The sequence below is a fragment of the Homo sapiens genome, chromosome 6 (genome assembly GCF_000001405.40).
Source record: "Homo sapiens chromosome 6, GRCh38.p14 Primary Assembly".
NCBI classification, from domain to species: domain Eukaryota; kingdom Metazoa; phylum Chordata; class Mammalia; order Primates; family Hominidae; genus Homo; species Homo sapiens.
The window spans coordinates 13,348,562-13,367,725 of NC_000006.12; the positions used below are offsets into that span (position 1 = coordinate 13,348,562).

At 45.7% G+C, this 19,164-nt stretch overlaps 1 protein-coding gene and 1 long non-coding RNA gene across 4 annotated transcripts in view, besides 1 other annotated feature; one reads left to right on the forward strand and one right to left on the reverse strand.

Annotated features, from left to right (window-relative positions):
• The first annotated feature begins 2,595 nt into the window (after window positions 1-2,595).
• On the forward strand, window positions 2,596-5,179 carry LOC105374936 (uncharacterized). Its single transcript, XR_926496.3, has 3 exons — window positions 2,596-2,782; window positions 3,968-4,038; window positions 5,060-5,179. It is a non-coding gene; the product is annotated as an uncharacterized LOC105374936 (long non-coding RNA).
• Window positions 7,055-7,144: a silencer, noted in NCBI's record as "silent region_16928". NCBI's record gives its function as "represses an Ori minimal core promoter by ATAC-STARR-seq in GM12878 lymphoblastoid cells {active_cell/tissue: GM12878}" and the evidence as "EXISTENCE:reporter gene assay evidence [ECO:0000049][PMID:35858748]".
• The window catches only part of GFOD1 (Gfo/Idh/MocA-like oxidoreductase domain containing 1), a 129,771-nt gene continuing 119,875 nt past the window's right edge, over window positions 9,269-19,164 (reverse strand). For all 3 annotated transcript variants that reach the window (NM_018988.4, NM_001242628.2, NM_001242630.2), the window contains exon 2: window positions 9,269-17,101. In NM_018988.4, coding sequence (NP_061861.1) covers window positions 16,182-17,101 — 920 coding nt within the window. In that variant the 3' untranslated portion in view covers window positions 9,269-16,181. The remainder of the gene's footprint in view (window positions 17,102-19,164) is intronic.

Below are 19,164 nucleotides of genomic sequence, written 5' to 3' on the forward strand. Positions count from 1 at the left end.
GGAGGTGGTGAGGAACAAATGGGTGGTTACTCGCAAGGCTGCCAAACTCTGCCTGGAGAAGCTTGTGAGTGGTTTTTTGTTTGTTTGTTTGTTTGTTTTGAGACGGAGTTTCGCTCTTGTAGCCCAGTCTAGAGTGCAATGGTGTGATCTCAGCTCACTGCAACCTCTGCCTCCAGGGTTCAAGAAATTCCCCTGCCTCAGCTTCCAGAATAGCTTGGACTACAGGCATACACCACCACACCCATCTAATTTTTGTATTTTTAGTAGAGACGGTGTTTCACCATGTTGGCCTGGCTGGTCTCCAACTCCTGACCTCAGGTGATCCACCCACCTCAGCCTCCTAAAGTGCTGGGATTACAGGCTTGGGCCACCGCGCCTGGCTGTGAATGGTTCTTAAAGCCCTATCTGAACATTAGAATCACCTGAAGAGCTGTGACCCAGCAGATGAATTCAATCAGAACCTCTAGGTGTGAGGTCAGGGTATCTATACTTTATAAAAGCTCCCCAGGTGATCCTAAGATGCAGCCAGGGCTGAGAGCCACTGTTCTAAAACTGTGACTCTTTTTTTTTTTTTTAATTAGAGATGGGGTCTCAATATGTTTACCAGGCTGGTCTTGAACTCCTGGCCTGAAGTGATCCTCCCATCTCAGCCTCCCAAAGTGCCAGGATTCCAGGCATGAGCCACCACGCCCAGCCTAAAACTGTGATTCTTGTAAGGCAGCAGTCCCCAACCTTTTTGGCTTCAGGAATGGGTTTCATGGAAGACAATTTTTCCATGGACCAGGGGTCAGGGGGCATGGTTTCAGGATGATTCAAGTGCATTACACTTATTGTGCACTTTATTTCTATTATTATTACATTGTAATATATAATGAAATCATAATACAACTCACCATAAGGTAGAATCAGTAGGAGCCCTGAGCTTCTTTTCCTGCAACTAGATGGTCCCATCTGGGGGTGATGGGAGACAGTGACAGATCATCAGGCATTAGATTCTCATAAAAAGCATGCACCTAGATCCCTCACATGCACAGTTCACAATAGGGTTTGCACTCCTGTGAGAGTATAATGCCAGTACCCGTCCATGGCCTGGAGGTTGCGGACCCCTGTGATAAGGGACAGGTGGAGGGCAAACAAAGCCTCACCTAGAGCCGTGGCCCCAGTGAGCATGCGTTAGACTCAGCTGGGGGGCTTGCTGGATCCAGCCTCAGATTCGACACGTCTGGGGTGGGACTGAGGATTTGCATTTATAACAAGTTTCCTATGTGATGCTGATGCTGCTGAGTGGGGGCCATACTTTGAGAACTGCTGACCTAGAGGTAATTTTCCACACCACACCTGTCCGGTCCCCATCCTTAAAGACTGCTGTATCACCCAGGTGAACTTGGGGTGCACAGGTGGGGAAGATGGTAGCTCTGATTGAGAATCCAAGCAAAACCGATTACGTAACACACAACTCTGATGATGGAGGGTGTGACATCTTTCAGGAGTCTCAGAGCAGACAAAAGTTGCCAGCTAGCAACCCAGAGCATGAAAACCAGAATGAGAAGCTGATATTTGTTTCCTGTGCTGAAAGTAAAGTTTCTTGAAACGCACACTAGAACTGGTTAATTTTTGGAAAACAGCCATGCCACAAGAAGGCTGTAAAGGGCCTATTTGGCACCATGGCAAGCCAGCAACCAGGAGCAAGACCTTTATCTTAGGAAACCCAGTTGCCAGGAACTCAGGGGCCTGTTTTGACCTACACAGGGCTTGTTCCCAACTCCCATACCTCAGTATAGAGCAATTGCCAGGATTTCAGCCGTAGGATGGAGTCTGAGAATGTCTGATCTCAGAGGGAAGGCAGCAGGAAAATGAAAACGCGTTGAGAGTGGCGGCCCCTAGTTCTCCAAATAGAACAGCCAGGTCTCACCACTCCCTGGATTCCAATTCTTAAAAATGAACCAGGCCTGCCAGGCAAGGCCACCATAGCTGAAAGGAATGACGTTTGAGCAGGTAAAAACCTAACCGAAGGGACGGTTCCTGAGTGCGTGGACACAGCGTTGGCAGTGCAGTGGGTGGCAGTGGTGCACGGTGACAGGCTTCAGTGAAGCGACTCTTATAGTATAGTGGCTGTTGTGTAGGAAGGAGAACATGAAGAATCTTGAATGAACCTATGAGATGAGGTCAGAGCTACACCTAAGAAAACTTCCACGAAATGATGAAATGTTGGTACGTGCAATGACCTGGGAGAAACCAGCCGGGGAGAGGAAAATCCTGGGTCTCCAATGGAGTCATCTCCCTGCCAGGCCCCAACTGATGGGACTCGGACAGACCTTAGAGCCACGCTGTGTGAATGTGGAAAATATGAAGACAGATCCGCCCAGACATTCAGTGATTCCTTAACAGGCAGATGCAAGAATTTTGCATACCACAGTAACTTGTCCAGGTCACAAAATCCTCTTTGTGAAGTGTCTGCCTGTAGCCAGGGCAATACTTCCATGGACTGCTGTGACACAGAGTTCCCGAGGTGCTGGGAGAGCCTGCCTGTGGGTTGAAGATTTGACAATGATGTCCTTGGACCAGCTTTTGTTCCCTCAGATCTGAACTGCTCCCAAGTCTGTGGATCAATGGAACGACACTAAATGGCACAGATACACCACGTCACGCAGAATTTCAGGGGATTTAACTTATCTGAACATATCACGTGTGAAAAGGCTTTTTCCGAGCCCTGTAGATGGGTCAGGGATATGGAAATGCAAGTGGAAGAAAGTACAAGGAGGCTTTAGCAGGGACGGGGAGGGTAGGTTTCCATGCAGACTTCTGCCACAGCAGGCTCTTTGGGCTGTTTGGGCCTGGGCTTGAATTGCGCTTCACAAGCCCTGGCCTGATTTCTGCAGAGCTTTTCAACACGGAGGATGAAAGGCATTCCACAGCTGAAAGGGATTCTGTCCTCCCAGAGTACTGGGGCTGTCGGTGGCACCAACAGCATAACAGCCGTCTGCCGACCCCTGACAGGCTTAGGAAGGAGCCCTTTCATACCGCTACAGCTCCGTGTTAGCGGCCGCCCGTGGAGAGGGAACTGTTTCCATGAAGAAATACAACTCGTCTTTTTGCTTTTAATTTCTCTAGAATGAGTGGACTCAGAATGGTGGCAAAAGAGGCAAAGTGAGAGTAGGCGTCTCCAAAATGTCAGGCTGGTGACTGGACCAGGGGCAGGAGGAGCAAAGCAGCTCAATTACCTGAAGAGCTTCAAAAAGTTTTTTTTTGTTTTTGTTTTTGTTTTTTTAATTGTGGTAAAATACATGTAACATAAAATTTACCATTTTACCATTTTATTTATTTATATATTTTTGGAGATAGGGTCTCTCTCTGTTGCCCAGGCTGGAGTGCAGTGGTGTGATCTTGGCTCTCTGCAACCTCCATCTCTTCGGTTCAAGCGATTCTCATGCCTCAGCCACCTGAATAGCTAGGATTATAGGTGTGTGCCACCATACCTGGCTAATTTTTAATTTTTGTAATTTTAGTAGAGATGGGCTTTCACCATGTTGACCAGGCTGGTCTTGAACTCCTGGCCTCATGTGACTGCACGCCTTGGCCTCCCAAAGTGCTGGGATTACAAGTGTGAGCCACCATGCCCGGCCGAATACATATTTTAAATTATAATTTTTTAATGCAGATTTCATTCAGTAAAGCCATTGAAAAAGAATGAGATTGTTCTGTGCTGATGTGGAGAGATGTTAAAAATCCTTATTTTTTAAAAAAAGGATTTTTTTTAAAAAAATATACGTATATACGTGTATACATAGAGATACACGTATATACGTGTATACATAGAGATACACGTATATACGTGTATACATATAGATACACACACATACATATATATATATATACACACACACACGTACATACATATTCCATTGCTTCTGTCCCTCTAAAGAACCCTGACTAATACACCCTCTCACAGTGTAATGACCTTTGCCAGGTTATGCCACAGCAAGAAGACTCTCACCAGATGCCAGTGCCATGCTGTTGGACTTCCCAGCCTCCAGAACTGTAAGAAATGAATCTCTGTTCTTTATAAATTACCCAGCCTCAGGTATTCAGTTACAGTAACACAAAACAGACTAAGAAATGTATCTTTGGCAATCTGGTGAAGCTAATGACCAATTTTGGGAATAATGGCCCCCCTCCCTGCCCAATAAGGTTTTTTTAAAAGAAATTATTTTTATTACTATTATTTTTGAGACAGGGTCTTGCTTTTTCACCTAGGCTGGAGTGCAGTGGCACGATCATAGTTTGCTGTAACCTCAAACTCCTGGGCTTGAGCAATCCTCCCACCTCCACCTTCTGAGTAGCTGGGACTATAGGCACACACCACCATGTTTGGCTAATTTTTAAATGTTTTTTATAGAGATGGGATCTGGCTATGTTGTCCAGGCTGATCTCAATCTCTTGGCCTCAAGGGATCCTCCTGTCTTGGTCTCCAATAAAGTTTTTAAGTGTGCAAAACAGTATGCATATAATTACAAAATAATAAATTATATTGATGTATCGTTCTCCAAATTTAAAAAAATTATCAATAAAACAATGTATAAGCCTTTCATTGAAGTATTAAATAACAAAAGCTGGTTGTGGTCTACTGGTTTCCATAATCTCAGAGAAGTAATGACTATAAATGCCACTTCAAGATATCGCAAAACCAATAATGAGATCTGAAAATAGATGTGAAGCCTAGGCAAGATGGTAAGACCTCGTCTCTACAAAACATTTTTAAAAACATTAGCTAGGCATGGGTCCACATTGGTAGTCCCAGCTACTTAAGAGGCTGAAGCAGCAGAGTTGCTTGAGAGCAGGAGTTTGAGGCTGCAGTGAGCTGTGTTTGCACCACTGCACTCCTACAGAGCAAGACCCTCATCTCAAAAAAAAAAAAAAGATGAAAATAGATGTGATTTCTATTGGTGATAAAGACACAGATATTGCTTACACAATTGTGATTTGTTGTCATAATCAAAGAAAATACTGAATTTCACTTAGAGTTAGTGAAAATAAAGATGCATTTTTTTCCCCACCTAAGTTCAGAGACACCCCTGCCCCCAGATTCATACTCCAGGCTGGGAGCCACTGGCATAACTGACGGATGAAAAGAAGAGAAGAATGGACACAGAGAGATTGGAGGTGGAGAATGAGAGCAGGCTTGTAAGGAATGAGATCCAGCATTAGAAGGGAGAGATGTATCTTTCCCTGTGACTTGGTTTCCCCATTCAAGGAAGAGGAAGTAGGTGGGTACAGCATATATTAGGTCATCAGGAAAGCAGGTAAGGAAGCTTTCCTCAGATGGCCTCAGAGTGAATGAATGGATGAATGAAAGCAAGAGGTTGTTTTAAGCAAGTAAGGGAGAAACCCGGATGTTACAGGAAACCTAAGGAGAGAAGTTCCGGAACTGATCTGAGGACTGAGCCAGGGAGTCCAGGAGAGCAGAGGCCAGGGGCTAGATGGAGTGGGTGAGCATCCATTTCTGCTGGCCAGGCTGGTTCACCTGGGGACTTTCTTCAGAAATTCTGTGCTGCAGGAGGAGACAGCAGATTGAAGTGACAGCCTAGTGGGTGGATTCTTTGAAAGCTGAGGAGGAGTGAGAAGCCTTGTGCGTGCGTCAAAAATAAATAAATAAATAAATAAATAAAGGCTAAATGGTAGATTTCTGAGTGGAGAGTGTGTTTGAAGGGGCCCAGGGAGGGGACTAACACATGGTGAAATGGCAGATGCTGAATCCTTGAAGACTTCAGGTTCAGGGGATTTGCAAATCGCAAACGCAACAAGAAAGGACGAGGGGATCCAAGGTGCACTCGGGGTCTTAAGGATGTTGCTCATTTAACACAATTGTTGGCATTAAAGAATTTCCAGGAAATGTCAACAGTTGGGTAGCTTTGAACAGCCCTAAAAGTGACTCAGCCAGATGGTTCCTGTAAGAATTCCTCCCTCATTCCTCCTTGTCTGCCGTCCTCCTCCTCATACAAGCTGTTTCCAGAGTGCAGATTAAGGCTTGTCAGCCAAAGAGGAACCCTACTTCAGATATCTCAGGCAACATTTACTTATCTTCACAAGCTTCCTTATTTTAAGTGCAGAGCCCTCTGACCTTTCGCTGTTTGTTCCCCTTCATCTAATTTACCCTACGTGAACTACCGCTTTTCCTGCTCCCTTCTCCTTCCCTTGCTGGTCCATTAATGCCAGCTCCTTCCTCTCTTTTTTTCTCTCCATCCTTTCTTCTCTCCTGTTTCCTCAGGGAGATGTCGAGTTTTAGCACTTCACAGCCGGAGTGATACAGAGCTGCTCTTTCCAGGCTAGCTCTGTCTTTTGCTTCATGGCAGAAACTTGAGTGTCAAGTCCGGATCCCTTGGCCTAGAACTCTGAAGAGTCAGCCTCATTTGTTAGTTCCGAGACAGACAGCTTTGGGAAGCTGAGAAAGCGCAGATCCTGGTCTTGCTCCTCTCCCTGGAGTTTCACTAGCTCTCAGGCCTGCTTGGCCTTTGCTTCTGAGGAGTCTGGAGTGATTTGCCATTCCCACAGGCGCCTCAAATAGCCTATGTCTGACTTAAATCTGATCTAGACCCTTTCATCCTTCCTACAAGGGAGTTAATGACATAGGGAATTTCAACACTGAGCCTGAACCTGTGGGGTCTGTGCACATGACCTGCACATCAGGTGCAGCCCCTCAGGCCTTCCTAGGGTCCCTCCTTCCCAGGGCATTGATGGCCAATGATGAGCAGGTCAGAGACAAAGGGGCATACATACACATGTATTCCAGACTGTTGTTCTAGGATTGAGTCCCTTCAATGAGCGAGAAATGAATTAATCTATAATTGCCCAAGAAGGCTTCTAAAAGTGACTTAATCTTTCGCTTTCATTCATGGCTGAAGAGAAGCAGTTAAGGTGATTAGAATCTGTATAAAATCAGGAAAGAAAGGTGTTTCTATAATTAGAATGACATTTTAGAGGAAGTCCAACAACCAGCTTAGGTAGTTTATCTTACAGAGTTGTGGTTGGACCACAGCAATGCTACAAAAGCTGTCACAGCTCAAGTCATCGTTCAGGAATTTACCCAGCAGATGTAGACTCAGAGATAGGATTCAAAAGGGAGCCTCAACTTGAATGCACAAGGCAAAGGATTTTGAATAGCTTCCATTTGCATCAGTTTTTTGTAGCAGTCTTGGCTTAAGTAAATTGTAACACTGCGCTTCTGGCGGTGACTTGGCATAAACTCTGTGAAGTGATGTGCCTTCTTCATCTCTATCATCTAGACTTCTTGGACAACATTCCCTGCAGGGGCCATTACTACTGCCAAATGCATAAGGGCTGGGGTGGAGGAGTGAGGGCGCCAAGCCCAGGGGATATCTAGGCAGAGGGATCTTTCCTGCTTAAGCAAAAGTTAGGTAAATAAGGGTCAATAACATGGTAGCCTATGAATTAGAGTGAGGTGAAGTTATTTTTGTTTTCATTTCTATACAGAGTTGTGCATACATCATGTATCTGTAATTCATTCTTACAGTAATTGTAAGTCATTTCATTTTTTAGATCGAGTCACCCAGGCTTGTCACAACAGGTGCTAAAAATGCACAAGATAAAAGAAGCAAGAAGTGAAACCGGAAAATGGTTCTGTGAATCAGGGAGGTGGGGTGTATAGACAGACATCAGAGGACACCCAGGTTTCTCTTCATTTCACCAGTAAAGAGCAACCTGAATGACTTACCATGCAATTATATCTGTTCTTTTTAAGCAACAGTTCAGAGACTATGAAAGCAGCGCTGATCATATCATGTGGTTTACTAGGAGGCATATAATCGCAGGTTTACAAAGCAAGAAATGGGACTAAATTGAGACAAACCAACATCACAAAGAGAATCCAAAATCCATGAAAGAAGAACTAGCTCCTAGATTTAAAATTTATATAACTGGTTAGGAGATTCGAGTTTTCATTGAGGGTTGGTTCTCAAGTCACATTGCTGAAAGAAACTTAGGGGAATGGATGCCATCGTGATGACACTTCACATTTGGGTGGATGGTGCTTTTAGTTTTGACAAAGCACTCTCCTTTTTGGCCTTATTTAGAACTGCTGTTAGATTTACTGCAGAATCATGTGGTATGAGAATGTCATATGTTCAAGACAATAATCTATGTGGATACAGGGGGTTGCTACAATGTTATCATAATAGATGGACTGAATTCTGGATGTATTTATATCAGGACCTGCTCATGAAGGAGTGAATGAGATTTCAGATTTTGCAGTATTAATTCTTATTTTTAAGTGAAGGGGAAACCATAGACCAGAAGGAACATTCATGAGCATTCTCTAAGACTCAGCAAAAGATAGAAAGGAAAGGCCAGCCCCTCCATAAAACACTCTATGTCATGCAAATTTGAAATTAGGCTGAGCTCAATCTGCGATGGTTGCCCTTAAACACTGCTAAGAAGGAAGTAAGCAAAGACGCTCTTTTAAATGGTCAGTGCTGGGCACAGTGGCTCATGCCTGTAATCCCAGCACTTTGGGAGGCTGAGGCACGCAGATCGCTTGAGTCCAGGAGTTCGAGACCAGCCTGGGCAACATGATGAAACCCCATCTCTACAAAATACAGAAAAAAAAAAATTAGCTGGGCGTGGTGGCATGTGCCTGTAATCCCAGCAACCCAAGAGCCTAAAGTGGTAGGATCGCTTGAGCCACAGGAGGTAGAGGGTGCAGTGAGCTGTGATCATGCCACTGCTCTCCAGCCTGGGTGACAGAGTAAGATCCTGTATCAAAAAAAAAAAAAAATTGTTTTTCAGTGCTTGGTGTGAAGTATTAGGTTACAGTGTTAAAATACTAGAGAATTCTAGAGAATTCTAAAATTTGCTCCCCCAATCTAAGAGCTATGTTCTCATCCTCTTGTTGTCTACACTAGCTTTGGTTGTCCACACTAGCTTTGGACACACAAACACATACCCAGAGGCCATAGGTAGGTTACTTGCCTTTCATTTTCACATTTCCAAAATGAGGGTTTGAACCAGATGGCTTTGAAGTGCCTCCAGTTCCCACACGCGTTGGTTTTCAATCAAAATTGTAGGTCTGTTGATTTCCATTGTTCAGCTTCATGGATGCTGACTCATGAACAGCCTCCCCCAGCACACACACAAACACCACAGGCACCCACACCCCTCTACCTTGGATGCACCCATTCATGCTTCAGATCCCACAAACTGATCAGGCGCCTATATTGAGAGCAGCAGGGTGTAAAAAACAGGCAAAGAGCTGGAATTGTATTTTCTTTTAAATCTTTATTTATCCTTTTCATTCCTTTATCCCACCAATGCAAATTGCGGAGAACAGCTGGAAGCCACGTCAGAGCGGCACAGGCCAGCTGGCTGAGTGATGCTGACCGCTGGCTCCGAGCATCGAGCATCGCAGAGATCACAACGGGCATCAGCTCTGGAGCTCCTAGCGGCAGGCACAGGGCTGCTGGAGGCCCGCAGGGAGGGCCGCCTCCCAGCTTCCACAGTAGTTTGGCCTTAAAAACACTAAGAACAGTTGCATTCATTGTCTTTTTTTTTCTTCTTTTTTTCCTTTAATAATAAAAAAGAAAACCAAAACCTCCTATAATTTATAAGCTATGTTTGACTATCTACATTATATAGAAAATATAGACTCTGTTTACTTTATAACACACATCTTTTTCCCTTGATAAATAACTCTTTAAAATATCTAGTATACATGCCTTGACTTCTTATATATATAAGTTTGGTTTTATACATATACATACATATATACTCATGTTTGTAAAACACAATAAATATATACTCGACAATGACAGCCAAACAAATGCCATTTTGGTTAAAAAACACAACAACAACAATAAAAAGCAGATGAAGTACTATAAAAGCACCAGGCAGCAGACAGAAAGTCACATTTGCTAGAAACTTCTCCCTCCCCTGGGCAAGGCACAGGGCAGAATACTAAATACGTCCAGGTGCCTGAAAGAGAAGGAAGGCAGCAAAGGAATGGGTCAGATCACAAGCTTTTGTTTTGTTTCTTAGCCTGGGATTAGACCAAGAATCACAAGTAAGTCATTGCGTTTATAAGGAAAAACCAAGGGGCTCATTCAACAGCTTAGCCCTTGTGGTGGCTGCAGGGGACAGTAGAGACCTGGAAGGGGAAGGAGAGAGACAGTGACCTGGTGACAACTCCATGACTATTGTCTAGCCCCTGCCTACATCTGCCCAGGCAAGCTTTTGATTGCCACACTAAGCATCAAGCCATTGCATATAATATGTTCTTTTCATGACTCTATTCACTGCTGGTGTAAACAGAAAGGAGTATTCAGTAGTGCAACACTTTGGGAGGCTGAATGAGAGCCACAGTTTCGGTGGCCCCCTCAAGGGCTCCAGCAAATGGGGACTGTGACGTGGGGGAGAAAAAGGCCAGTGGGCCATTGCCTTCCACTCCTGAGACAGTACCGGCTTCACCTCCAGATGCCACTGGGAACACTGAGCCCATCACCTTTTAAAGAAGCGCAGGAGGTCTTGACTCTTCCTATGAGAAGTCCCAGAAGCCCCAGTCAGTCTGGGTGGGGGGTCCCCTGAAACTCAGAGCACGCTCCAGCTGCTGGCTCCTGTGCCTGGCGGGGAGAAGGTGGAGAGGCGGGCATGCCTGCCGCTGAGAAAGACATAATAACGCTCCAGCTGCACACCCCTTTTCTTCCACGGCCCTCCTCTTTCTCCCCAAAAGGAAACTAAAATGTGGGGTTCTGATCATTGATTTTTAAACAAGCTCCCCAATGTCATGGCCTCTGCTCTGTAAACTCCAAGGCTCTGATGGCCAAAAACGTAGGCGGTGGTGGAGCAGTAGGCGGTGTCAAGGCTAGATTTGTATTAATATCTAGGAGTGGGGTGGGGATGCAGGTGGAGGGTGAGCCAAGTAGACCAAGCCTCAGGAAATCCCAGAGGTGAAGATTTGATGCACATCCCCCATCCTTGCCAAATAAAATACAAGTTAGAGGTCATTGTTCACATTACAGTCACAATGGGACATTTTAAACAGCTCGTTTTCTGAGTACATTCAAGACATAATTGAATTTATTTTAAAAAATGGATTTCCCGGCTGGGCACGGTGGATCACGCCTGTCATCCCAGCACTTTGGGAGGTCAAGGCGGGCGGATCACAAGGTCAGGAGTTCAAGACCAGCCTGACCAATATGGGGAAACCTTGTCTCTACTAAAAATACAAAAATTAGCCGGGCATGGTGGCGTGCGTCTGTAATCCCAGCTACTCAGGAGGCTGAGGCAGGAGAATCGCTTGAACCCGGGAGGCGGTGTTGCAGTGAGCTGAGATCACGCCATTGCACTCCAGCCTGGGTGACAGAGTAAGACTCTGTCTCAAAAAAAAAAAAAAAAGGATTTCCAGATTTCCCTGCAACTGCTCAGCGAATTGAGGTCCAATGCAGGTCTAATTCCAACTTCTCTGCCACTAGCCACAGGACTTCAGACAAGTCACTTCATCTCTCTGAGCCTCCTTTCCCTAGAGCTCTGGAGGTGCTATGTGAGGCAGCATGAGACTTAAGAGGCAGAAAACCTGACTTTTTGTCCTGGCTCTACCACTAAAGATGTGGGTGGCCTTGACCATCACTCTCTGTTATGTAAAACAAAAGGACGGCTATTGGACTGTGAAGCCCCTTCAGATGCAGCTGAATTTACCTTCTGCCCAGAAAATCATTAACAAAGCTGATTCTGCCCCCAGTACCCACCAGAATGCAAGAGATCAGATCAGAAACCCAACTTATGATCACAGGCCAAATTCAATAGCTGTGGCTATGAGACAAGATGAAGAGAGTAGGGGTGCAAAGAAAGGTGCAGTGCACAGCTAAAATTGGAGTGACAAACAAACGAACTTTAAAGCCCCACTCCCTGAGAAAGGACATTTTCCTACGTTATATTCAGACCCCCAAGAGCAAATTCCAAGGCCATCTATAATAGTCAGCCAACAAGATTTTGAAAATCCCCAGCCCTGAGGCTTGCTGCATCACCTACAATCAAAATGAACATAGGAAGTCAATTTTAAAAAAGGCTGAGTGATATTTCCATTTTGGAATGGGAAGAAACACTGGCTACTTCTATGTGCAGCTCTACAGCCTCCTGGCAGAACATCAGATGTTGCATCCTGCTGAACAGGAGGGTGCTGACAGCAGGCTGAGTGGAGCCGCAGGTTAGTCCATGCTTGTCACAGTCCTTCCTGGGTGTGAGAGCAGACCCCGTAGACATTGATAAGGAGCGGTTTCCTGCCTGGCAAGAACAGGAGGTGCCCACATCTCTTCCTGGGAGGCAGTGTGGTCTGGAGGAGAAGATTAAGGATTTGAATGACCTCATTTCTGCCTAACAGTTGTGTGACTTTGAACAAGTTCCTCTTCCTCTTACTGCCTCCATTTTCTCATGTGTATAAAAGAAATAGCAATACCCAACACTATAGGGTTGTTTTTATGGATTGTATGAGATAACATACTTAAAATACTCTGCACACAGTGGACAAGTCTTGGAGTTGGCCAGTCTTGGAGTTGGCCAAGACTACCCTAGAGTCCAGATATAACTGGCACAGTGGTATTTGCTGCCATGTAGGCTAAGGGGGGTCTGGGGTGCCCTACAATGCAATTGTCTGTTGAGAGGAGAAGTCTTGGAGGAGCTGACAGTGATCACAGATTCAAACTTTTCAAATAGGCCCAGGGCACTCCCAAACATTTTTTAAATACCAGGTAAGAACCCTGACCCACACCCTCCCTCATAACTTGGAATCTAGGCCATTCGCACATTGATGGGAACGAAACAGGCATGCAGGAACTAAATGGGAAGACTCTTAAAGCACTGCCTCCTTGCATCGAGGCCCTTGAAACACATTAAACAAAGCAGAAAGGAGCCAAAAGATTGCTGGGTTTTAGTCCTAGGTCAAAGTCAGCTGTGGGTACCCAGACCCCTAAAGGCATGATGAACGGTGCTGGGCTGAAACAAAGTCCTTCTGCAGAACACTGTTGAAGGCTAGAGATTTCAGCTTCATATAGCTACCCCAAATCAAGTCTTTGCATGTGGTGGGATAAGGGCAAATGGAGCACTAAAGGAGTATCTCAAACCCATTTGCTACAGTTTATATTTAAAGAAAATGAACTATCCAGTTCTTTTCTTTCTCTTGTTCCTTCACCTACCTACTACATGCATTTCAGTAGATAAAATTTGAGTACACACACTAAAATATTTTTTCATGCCTCTTTTAAAGAATATATGTTCTTTCTAATACCCCAGCTTCAAATGAGATTTTTTGTTTTAGACATTAAATATGTATTACAGAGCTTAGAGGCCTTTGTGGGGACCTCTCTCCAAAACCCGAAGTTTTGGGAAAAGATTTCGCGAGTATTATGGTTTAGTACAGAAACATACAATTGAAACCCCAGGAATATCCCTATTTAGGTTATGAATGACTTAGAAAAATGAAACCCATTGAATCATTTTGTTTACTTTCCCTTCATCCTTAATCGGAGCCCTTCAGGCTAGCTAGAAAATAATAATAATAATAATTCCAATGTTTCCCCAAAAACTACTTTCCCAGGGAGCAATTTAGAAGAACCAGAATCAGCTGGGTGTGGTGGCTCACGCCTGCAACCCCAGCACTTTGCAAGGCCAAGGCAGGTGGATCAAGAGGTCAGGAGATCGAGACCATGCTGGCTAATACAGTGAAACCCCGTCTCTACTAAAAATACAAAAAATTAGCCGGCTGTGGTGGCAGCCACCCGTAGTCCCTGCTGCTCGGGAGGCTGAGACAGGAGAATCGCTTGAACCTGGGAGGCAGAGGTTGCAGTGAGCTGAGATCACACCACTGCACTCCAGCTTGGGTGACAGAGCGAGACTCCATTTCAAAAAAAAAAAAAAAAAAAGAAGAAGAATGTGAACCAAAGCAGTCCATGACATGGGCCTCTGTTCAAACTATTATTGGGAGACTTCCATTCCAGCAAATCTCTGGTTTGGAACTGATAGCTGCAAGAGCTGGAATGCTGACCATGAAGTCTGTCAGCAACAGGTCAGGGACCACAACAAACCACGCATGGAATTTCAGCTTACCCACCCTGCAGTGCTGTAGCAAAGCCTCGGGAAGCAGGGCGACTCTTTCCAGGAAGGCAGTACTTACTTCTCTGTTCTAGAAAATGCCCAGCATTCCCCTCGTGTTTGGACACACCACACTTGCACCTATGAGTAGCCTGGGCTTCAAAGAATATTGACCCTAGGGAGGACAATGAAGGATGCAACTGATTGGGCTGTTCATTCTCAGATTTTGCCTACACAGGCTGGAGGTGGACTCCAGTCCTCTTAGATTCCCTTCTAGTTCCAATGGCAGCTATCTGAAAAGAACTCTAAACCTCAGTTGCATGTAAAGACACCTGTTGGACTTCAGTGAGCCTGTGAACAAAAGCTACGTAGACTTATGAGGAATGGCTTCCACGTCCACACTTGACAAATGTCTTACGTGGGGTGAAGAATTAAACAAAGATAACAAAGGATAATTCCCTGTTCTCTGAATGCACTTGATTGGCTCTTTCTTTCAAGACCAGATCTGAATTTTTAAAGAATGGTTTCAGCGACATTTGTCGGTAGCAACCATTCAAAAATCTGTGTGTGTGTGTGTGTGTGTGTGTGTGCACGTGCATGTGTGTGTGTGTCTGTTCCCTTTTGGCACTGCCTGCTCCCAGCCTGCAGTTCAGCATCTCTAACAAAACTCTGTAAGCAGAGTGTGCAAGGACAAGACAGACAGCAGACCAATTAGAAGAACATGTTTTTTCCAACATTAGCCTTTTCAAGCCTAAGTATGGCCCCTTAAGGGGTTCTAAACCCCCATTTTAGAAACACTAGAAATAATGTTCCTTGTTGTCCTTTTGTTTTGTTTCGTTTAGTACCTACCCCCAAATTCTCAGGTGTCAGAATCCTGAAAGCAAATGCTGGAGCTAAGGAAAATCCTTTTTTTTTTTTTTTTTTTTTTTTTTTTTGTAAGGAAAGAGGATTCTGATTGGAACTGAAGGCTTCCTTTCTAAATCCACAAAGCTGGATGAATCTCCTAAAAGCTCTTGCCCAGCTTGGTAGGAGAGATGCGCGATAGAGCCCCAAACACCTCCTGGCTAGGCTCACTTTACCCTCTATTTAGGAATTCACACTGCAACACTGAGGCACACAGCTCTCCCCAGTCTTTGGGGGCAGCATATGAGCTTATGGCCAAACCCATACTTTGTGCTGTCTTCTTGGCCCTGCCTGGAGAGCCACGTGGCAGGGCTACCTTAACACCGCAGTAATCCCTCTGATACTCAATTCCACCTTTACTGGAAATAGTGTTATAAGGTGACTCCTTGCAGTTTTTTAATTGTTGACAAGTTCAAAGGGATATTTTATTCTCTGCTGCCCCTGCTTTGGTGCAGCCTGTGCTCTTTTCTTGTGGCTCCTGGGAGTCCTGCTTTTTGCTTGCTATTTCTGACCTCTCTTTCTCTACCAGGTGAAGGGCAATGAACCAAGTACAAAGACACACCCTCAGTGCTTCCTATGAGGAAGCCCAATCAATCAAAAGGTGGCCACTTTGCTACTAAGTACTTTTGCCGTTAGATACCTTATATCCAATAAAAAGTGGCTTCCTGGAATTTGAACTTTCTCACCAGCCCATCCCACCCCCAACCCCAGCCTAACACGCTTCTGTGGACTGTGAAAATGGGCCTTCTCCTGCCAGCAGTGGGTATCCCGGGCACTGAGCTTGCCATCTGATACTAGTGCCTTGACCTTGCAGAACCACTTGGCTTGCAGAAGGCCAAGGTGTGTGGGATGGATGAGGTAGGGAGGGAAGCAACCCCTCCTTGCTTGTCACAGTAAAGGGCAGCAGAGGCAGCTAAACCAAACCACTCTCGTGCAAATACCCAGCAGGGATCATCCCAGGAATGGCAGGCTCTCCTGAATGCTTCCAGGCTAGGAGCTCAGCCCACCAACAGTCTGGTTTGGGGTCGGTCACCGGGATTGGAGTTTACCTTCCTAGATGCCATTTATTCACACTGTCCCTCCACCTCCCTGATCCCCACATTCCCCATGGTCACCCTCTCCCCTCGGCCCTTCCCTCTCTGTGGACATCCCCTGCAGAAGGCTCAAGTCCCCGAGGTTCTCAATCTGTGCTAACAGTAGAGGGACATCCTGCTGCGGCGCATGGCCTCGCTGATCAGGTAGGCGGGGCTCAGCTCCGGCTCCTCGGTCATGATGGCAATGTTCTGCCACTCGCCCGTCTGGCTGGACCTCTTGATGGTGTCCACCACGCACAAGGCATACAGGCAGTCGTCGAAGGTGGCGGCCATGGTGAGGGGCCGCCCATCCCACGTGCGCCGGTCGTCCTGGTCCTGGAAGGCCTGGCGCACCGCCTGCATCATCTTGATGGTGCCGCGCAGGTAGGGCGAGGGGATGTCGCTGAAGGCCTTCTCCGGAAGCAGGGAGTTGCTCACCGGCGTGGCGTCCTGCACCAGCAGCTCCTGCTCCGGGGCGCTGTTGCGCTGCCCGTACAGGTCGGTGCCCACGGCCAGCAGGCGCCCGGCTGAGCCCACCACAGTGACATCCTGCTTGAACTCGCCGGGCACGTTGAAGTTGAGGGTGACGGTGCAGCACACCCCGCCCTCCAGCACCATCTGGAAGGTGCAGAAGTCATCGCTGGTGATCTGTCGGATGCCCTTGATGTGGTCAGTCTGCTTCACGAAGGTCTTGAGCAGCCCGTGGACCTTGACGGCCTTTTGGCCGGTGAGGAAGGTGAGCAGGTCGATGATGTAGGTGCCCACGGAGTGCAGGCCGCCGCCGCCCATCAAGTCGTCGCAGCTCCAGTTGTACTTCTTGCCCAGCAGGCTGCCGCCGTGCACCTGCACCTCACACACCAGCGGCTCGCCCACGTAGCCCTCCTCGATCAGCTGCTTCATGCGCACGAAAGCCGGCAGGAAGCGCAGCACGTTGCCCATGATGCTCATGAGCTTGGGGTAGTAGTGGGCGGCCGAGGTCATGCGGAAAGCGTCCAGCGGCGTGGCCGTGCGGTCGCAGATGACGTTCTTGCCGATGCCTGCGGGTGGGAGGAAGACAGCGGTCAGCGGGGCAGGACCATGTCCGAGCGCGCGTCCCTGGGTCAGATCTTAAAATATTTCACATTAATAGAAAAAGAAGGTCAGATGTGGTGGCTCATGCCTGTTGTCCCAGCACTTTGGGAGGCCAAGGCCGGAGGAGGCCTTGAGCCCAGGAGTTGGAGGCCAGCCTGGGTAACACAGAGAGATCCTGTCTCAATAATAATAATAATAATAATAATAATAATAATAATAATAATAATGAGCCGGGCGTGGTGGTGCACGCCTGTGGTCCCAGCTACTCAGGAGGCCGAAGTGGGAGGATCACTTGAGCCCAGGAGGTTGAGGCTGCAGTGAGCTATGTTCTGGCCGCTGCAGTGAGCTATGTTCTGGCCACTGCACTCCAGCCTGGGGACAGCAAGACTCTGTCTCAAAAAATAAAAAATAATGAAAATAAAAAAGATATTCTATATATTTCAATATTACTTTAAATATTTATGTTGCATTACTTAATTTGTTGTTTTTTGTTTGTTTGTTTTTGAGACAGAATCTCACTGTTCCCCAGGCTGCATTGCAGTGGTGCGATCATAGCTAACTGCAGCCTCAAATCTCTGGGCTCAAGCAATCCTCCTGCCTCAGCCTCCTGAGTAGCTAAGACAGTAGGTGCCACCACACCTAGCTAAACTTTTTTTTGAGATGGATTCTCACCCTATCACCCAGGCTGGAGTGCAATGGCACCATCTCGGCTCACTGCAACCTCCACCTCCTGGGTTCAAACGATTCTCCTGCCTCAGCCTCCCGAGTAGTTGAGATTACAGGCGCCCGCCACCATGCCCAGCTAATTTTTGTATTTTTAGTAGAGATGGGGTTTCACCATGTTTGCCAGGCTAGTCTGGAACTCCTGACCTCATGATCCGCCCACCTCAGCCTCCCAAAGTTCTGGGATTACAGGCGTGAGCCACTGCGCCCAGCCATTTTTTTTTTTTAAAAGAGATGGGGTCTCCAATTTTTTTTTAAGAGACAGGGGTCTCCTTATATTGTTCAGGCCGGTCTCGAATTCCTGGTCTTAAGTGGTCCCCTACCCTCTAAGTCCCCAAAGTGCTGGGATTACAGGTGTCCTGGTCCCAAAAGGCCATGACTTACTTAATTTTAATGTTAAATGTCTGGTATTGATTTAAATAGTAAGGTTTATTTTAAGATATTTAAGTAACCTATATTTTAGAAATGTTTAACAATATTTGCTAAGGTAGTATAAAATGCTTCATTTTATATTTTATTTATATAAACCTATAACATTTTAAACAGAAATAGATTTTGCTTTTATGTTATTTAAATACAAAATATTAGATAGTACTATTAAAGTATACAATATAATCTTTTTACATATAAAATATATTGTTACAGTTATCATATATATAAAATGTTTGATATGTTGTATTTTATATTTAAAATATCATTTTTAGTAAAAGTGTATTATTATTAAAAATCATATAGTGAAAGGAGAAGAGTGCCTGTATTTGGACAGAATAAGAATACATAAACTTAAATCCTAGCCAAGGTAAGTCTAATTAAGTCTGAAGAACTTCTTATTGATACCCTTTGAAGGTCTAAGCTTTTGGCTAATGTCTTCCCCTCTCCACCCCTCACAATTCCCCAGGATTGTATTTTGAGCATTATCATGCTTGTTTATTTTGCATTCTGGATTAGGGCTGGCAGTGGTCACAGATGTGTTCGTTTAACGTTTTTCTTTTCCTACAAAGAGCGGATATCACCTAAATCTGAGGAGTTGGCAGTGCCTGCTTCCTTCCCGACCCCCATCTGCTTCAGGGTGGGGTATGTTGCTTTTGGCCAGTGGAGGTCAGGCCAAATAAGATTTAGTCTTATGTGATGACTGTGATGTGTGTATAAATTACACAGAGACCAAAATGCCTCTCTGAGCCCTTTAGGAGACTAAGTGGTTCTGGGTCTGGGGAAAACAAAGGATCAAAGGAAAGGAGAGTGGCAGGGAATGAGAAAGGGATTTATTTCATGGAAGCCAAGAGTCAGGGAAGAAGAAAAACAACTC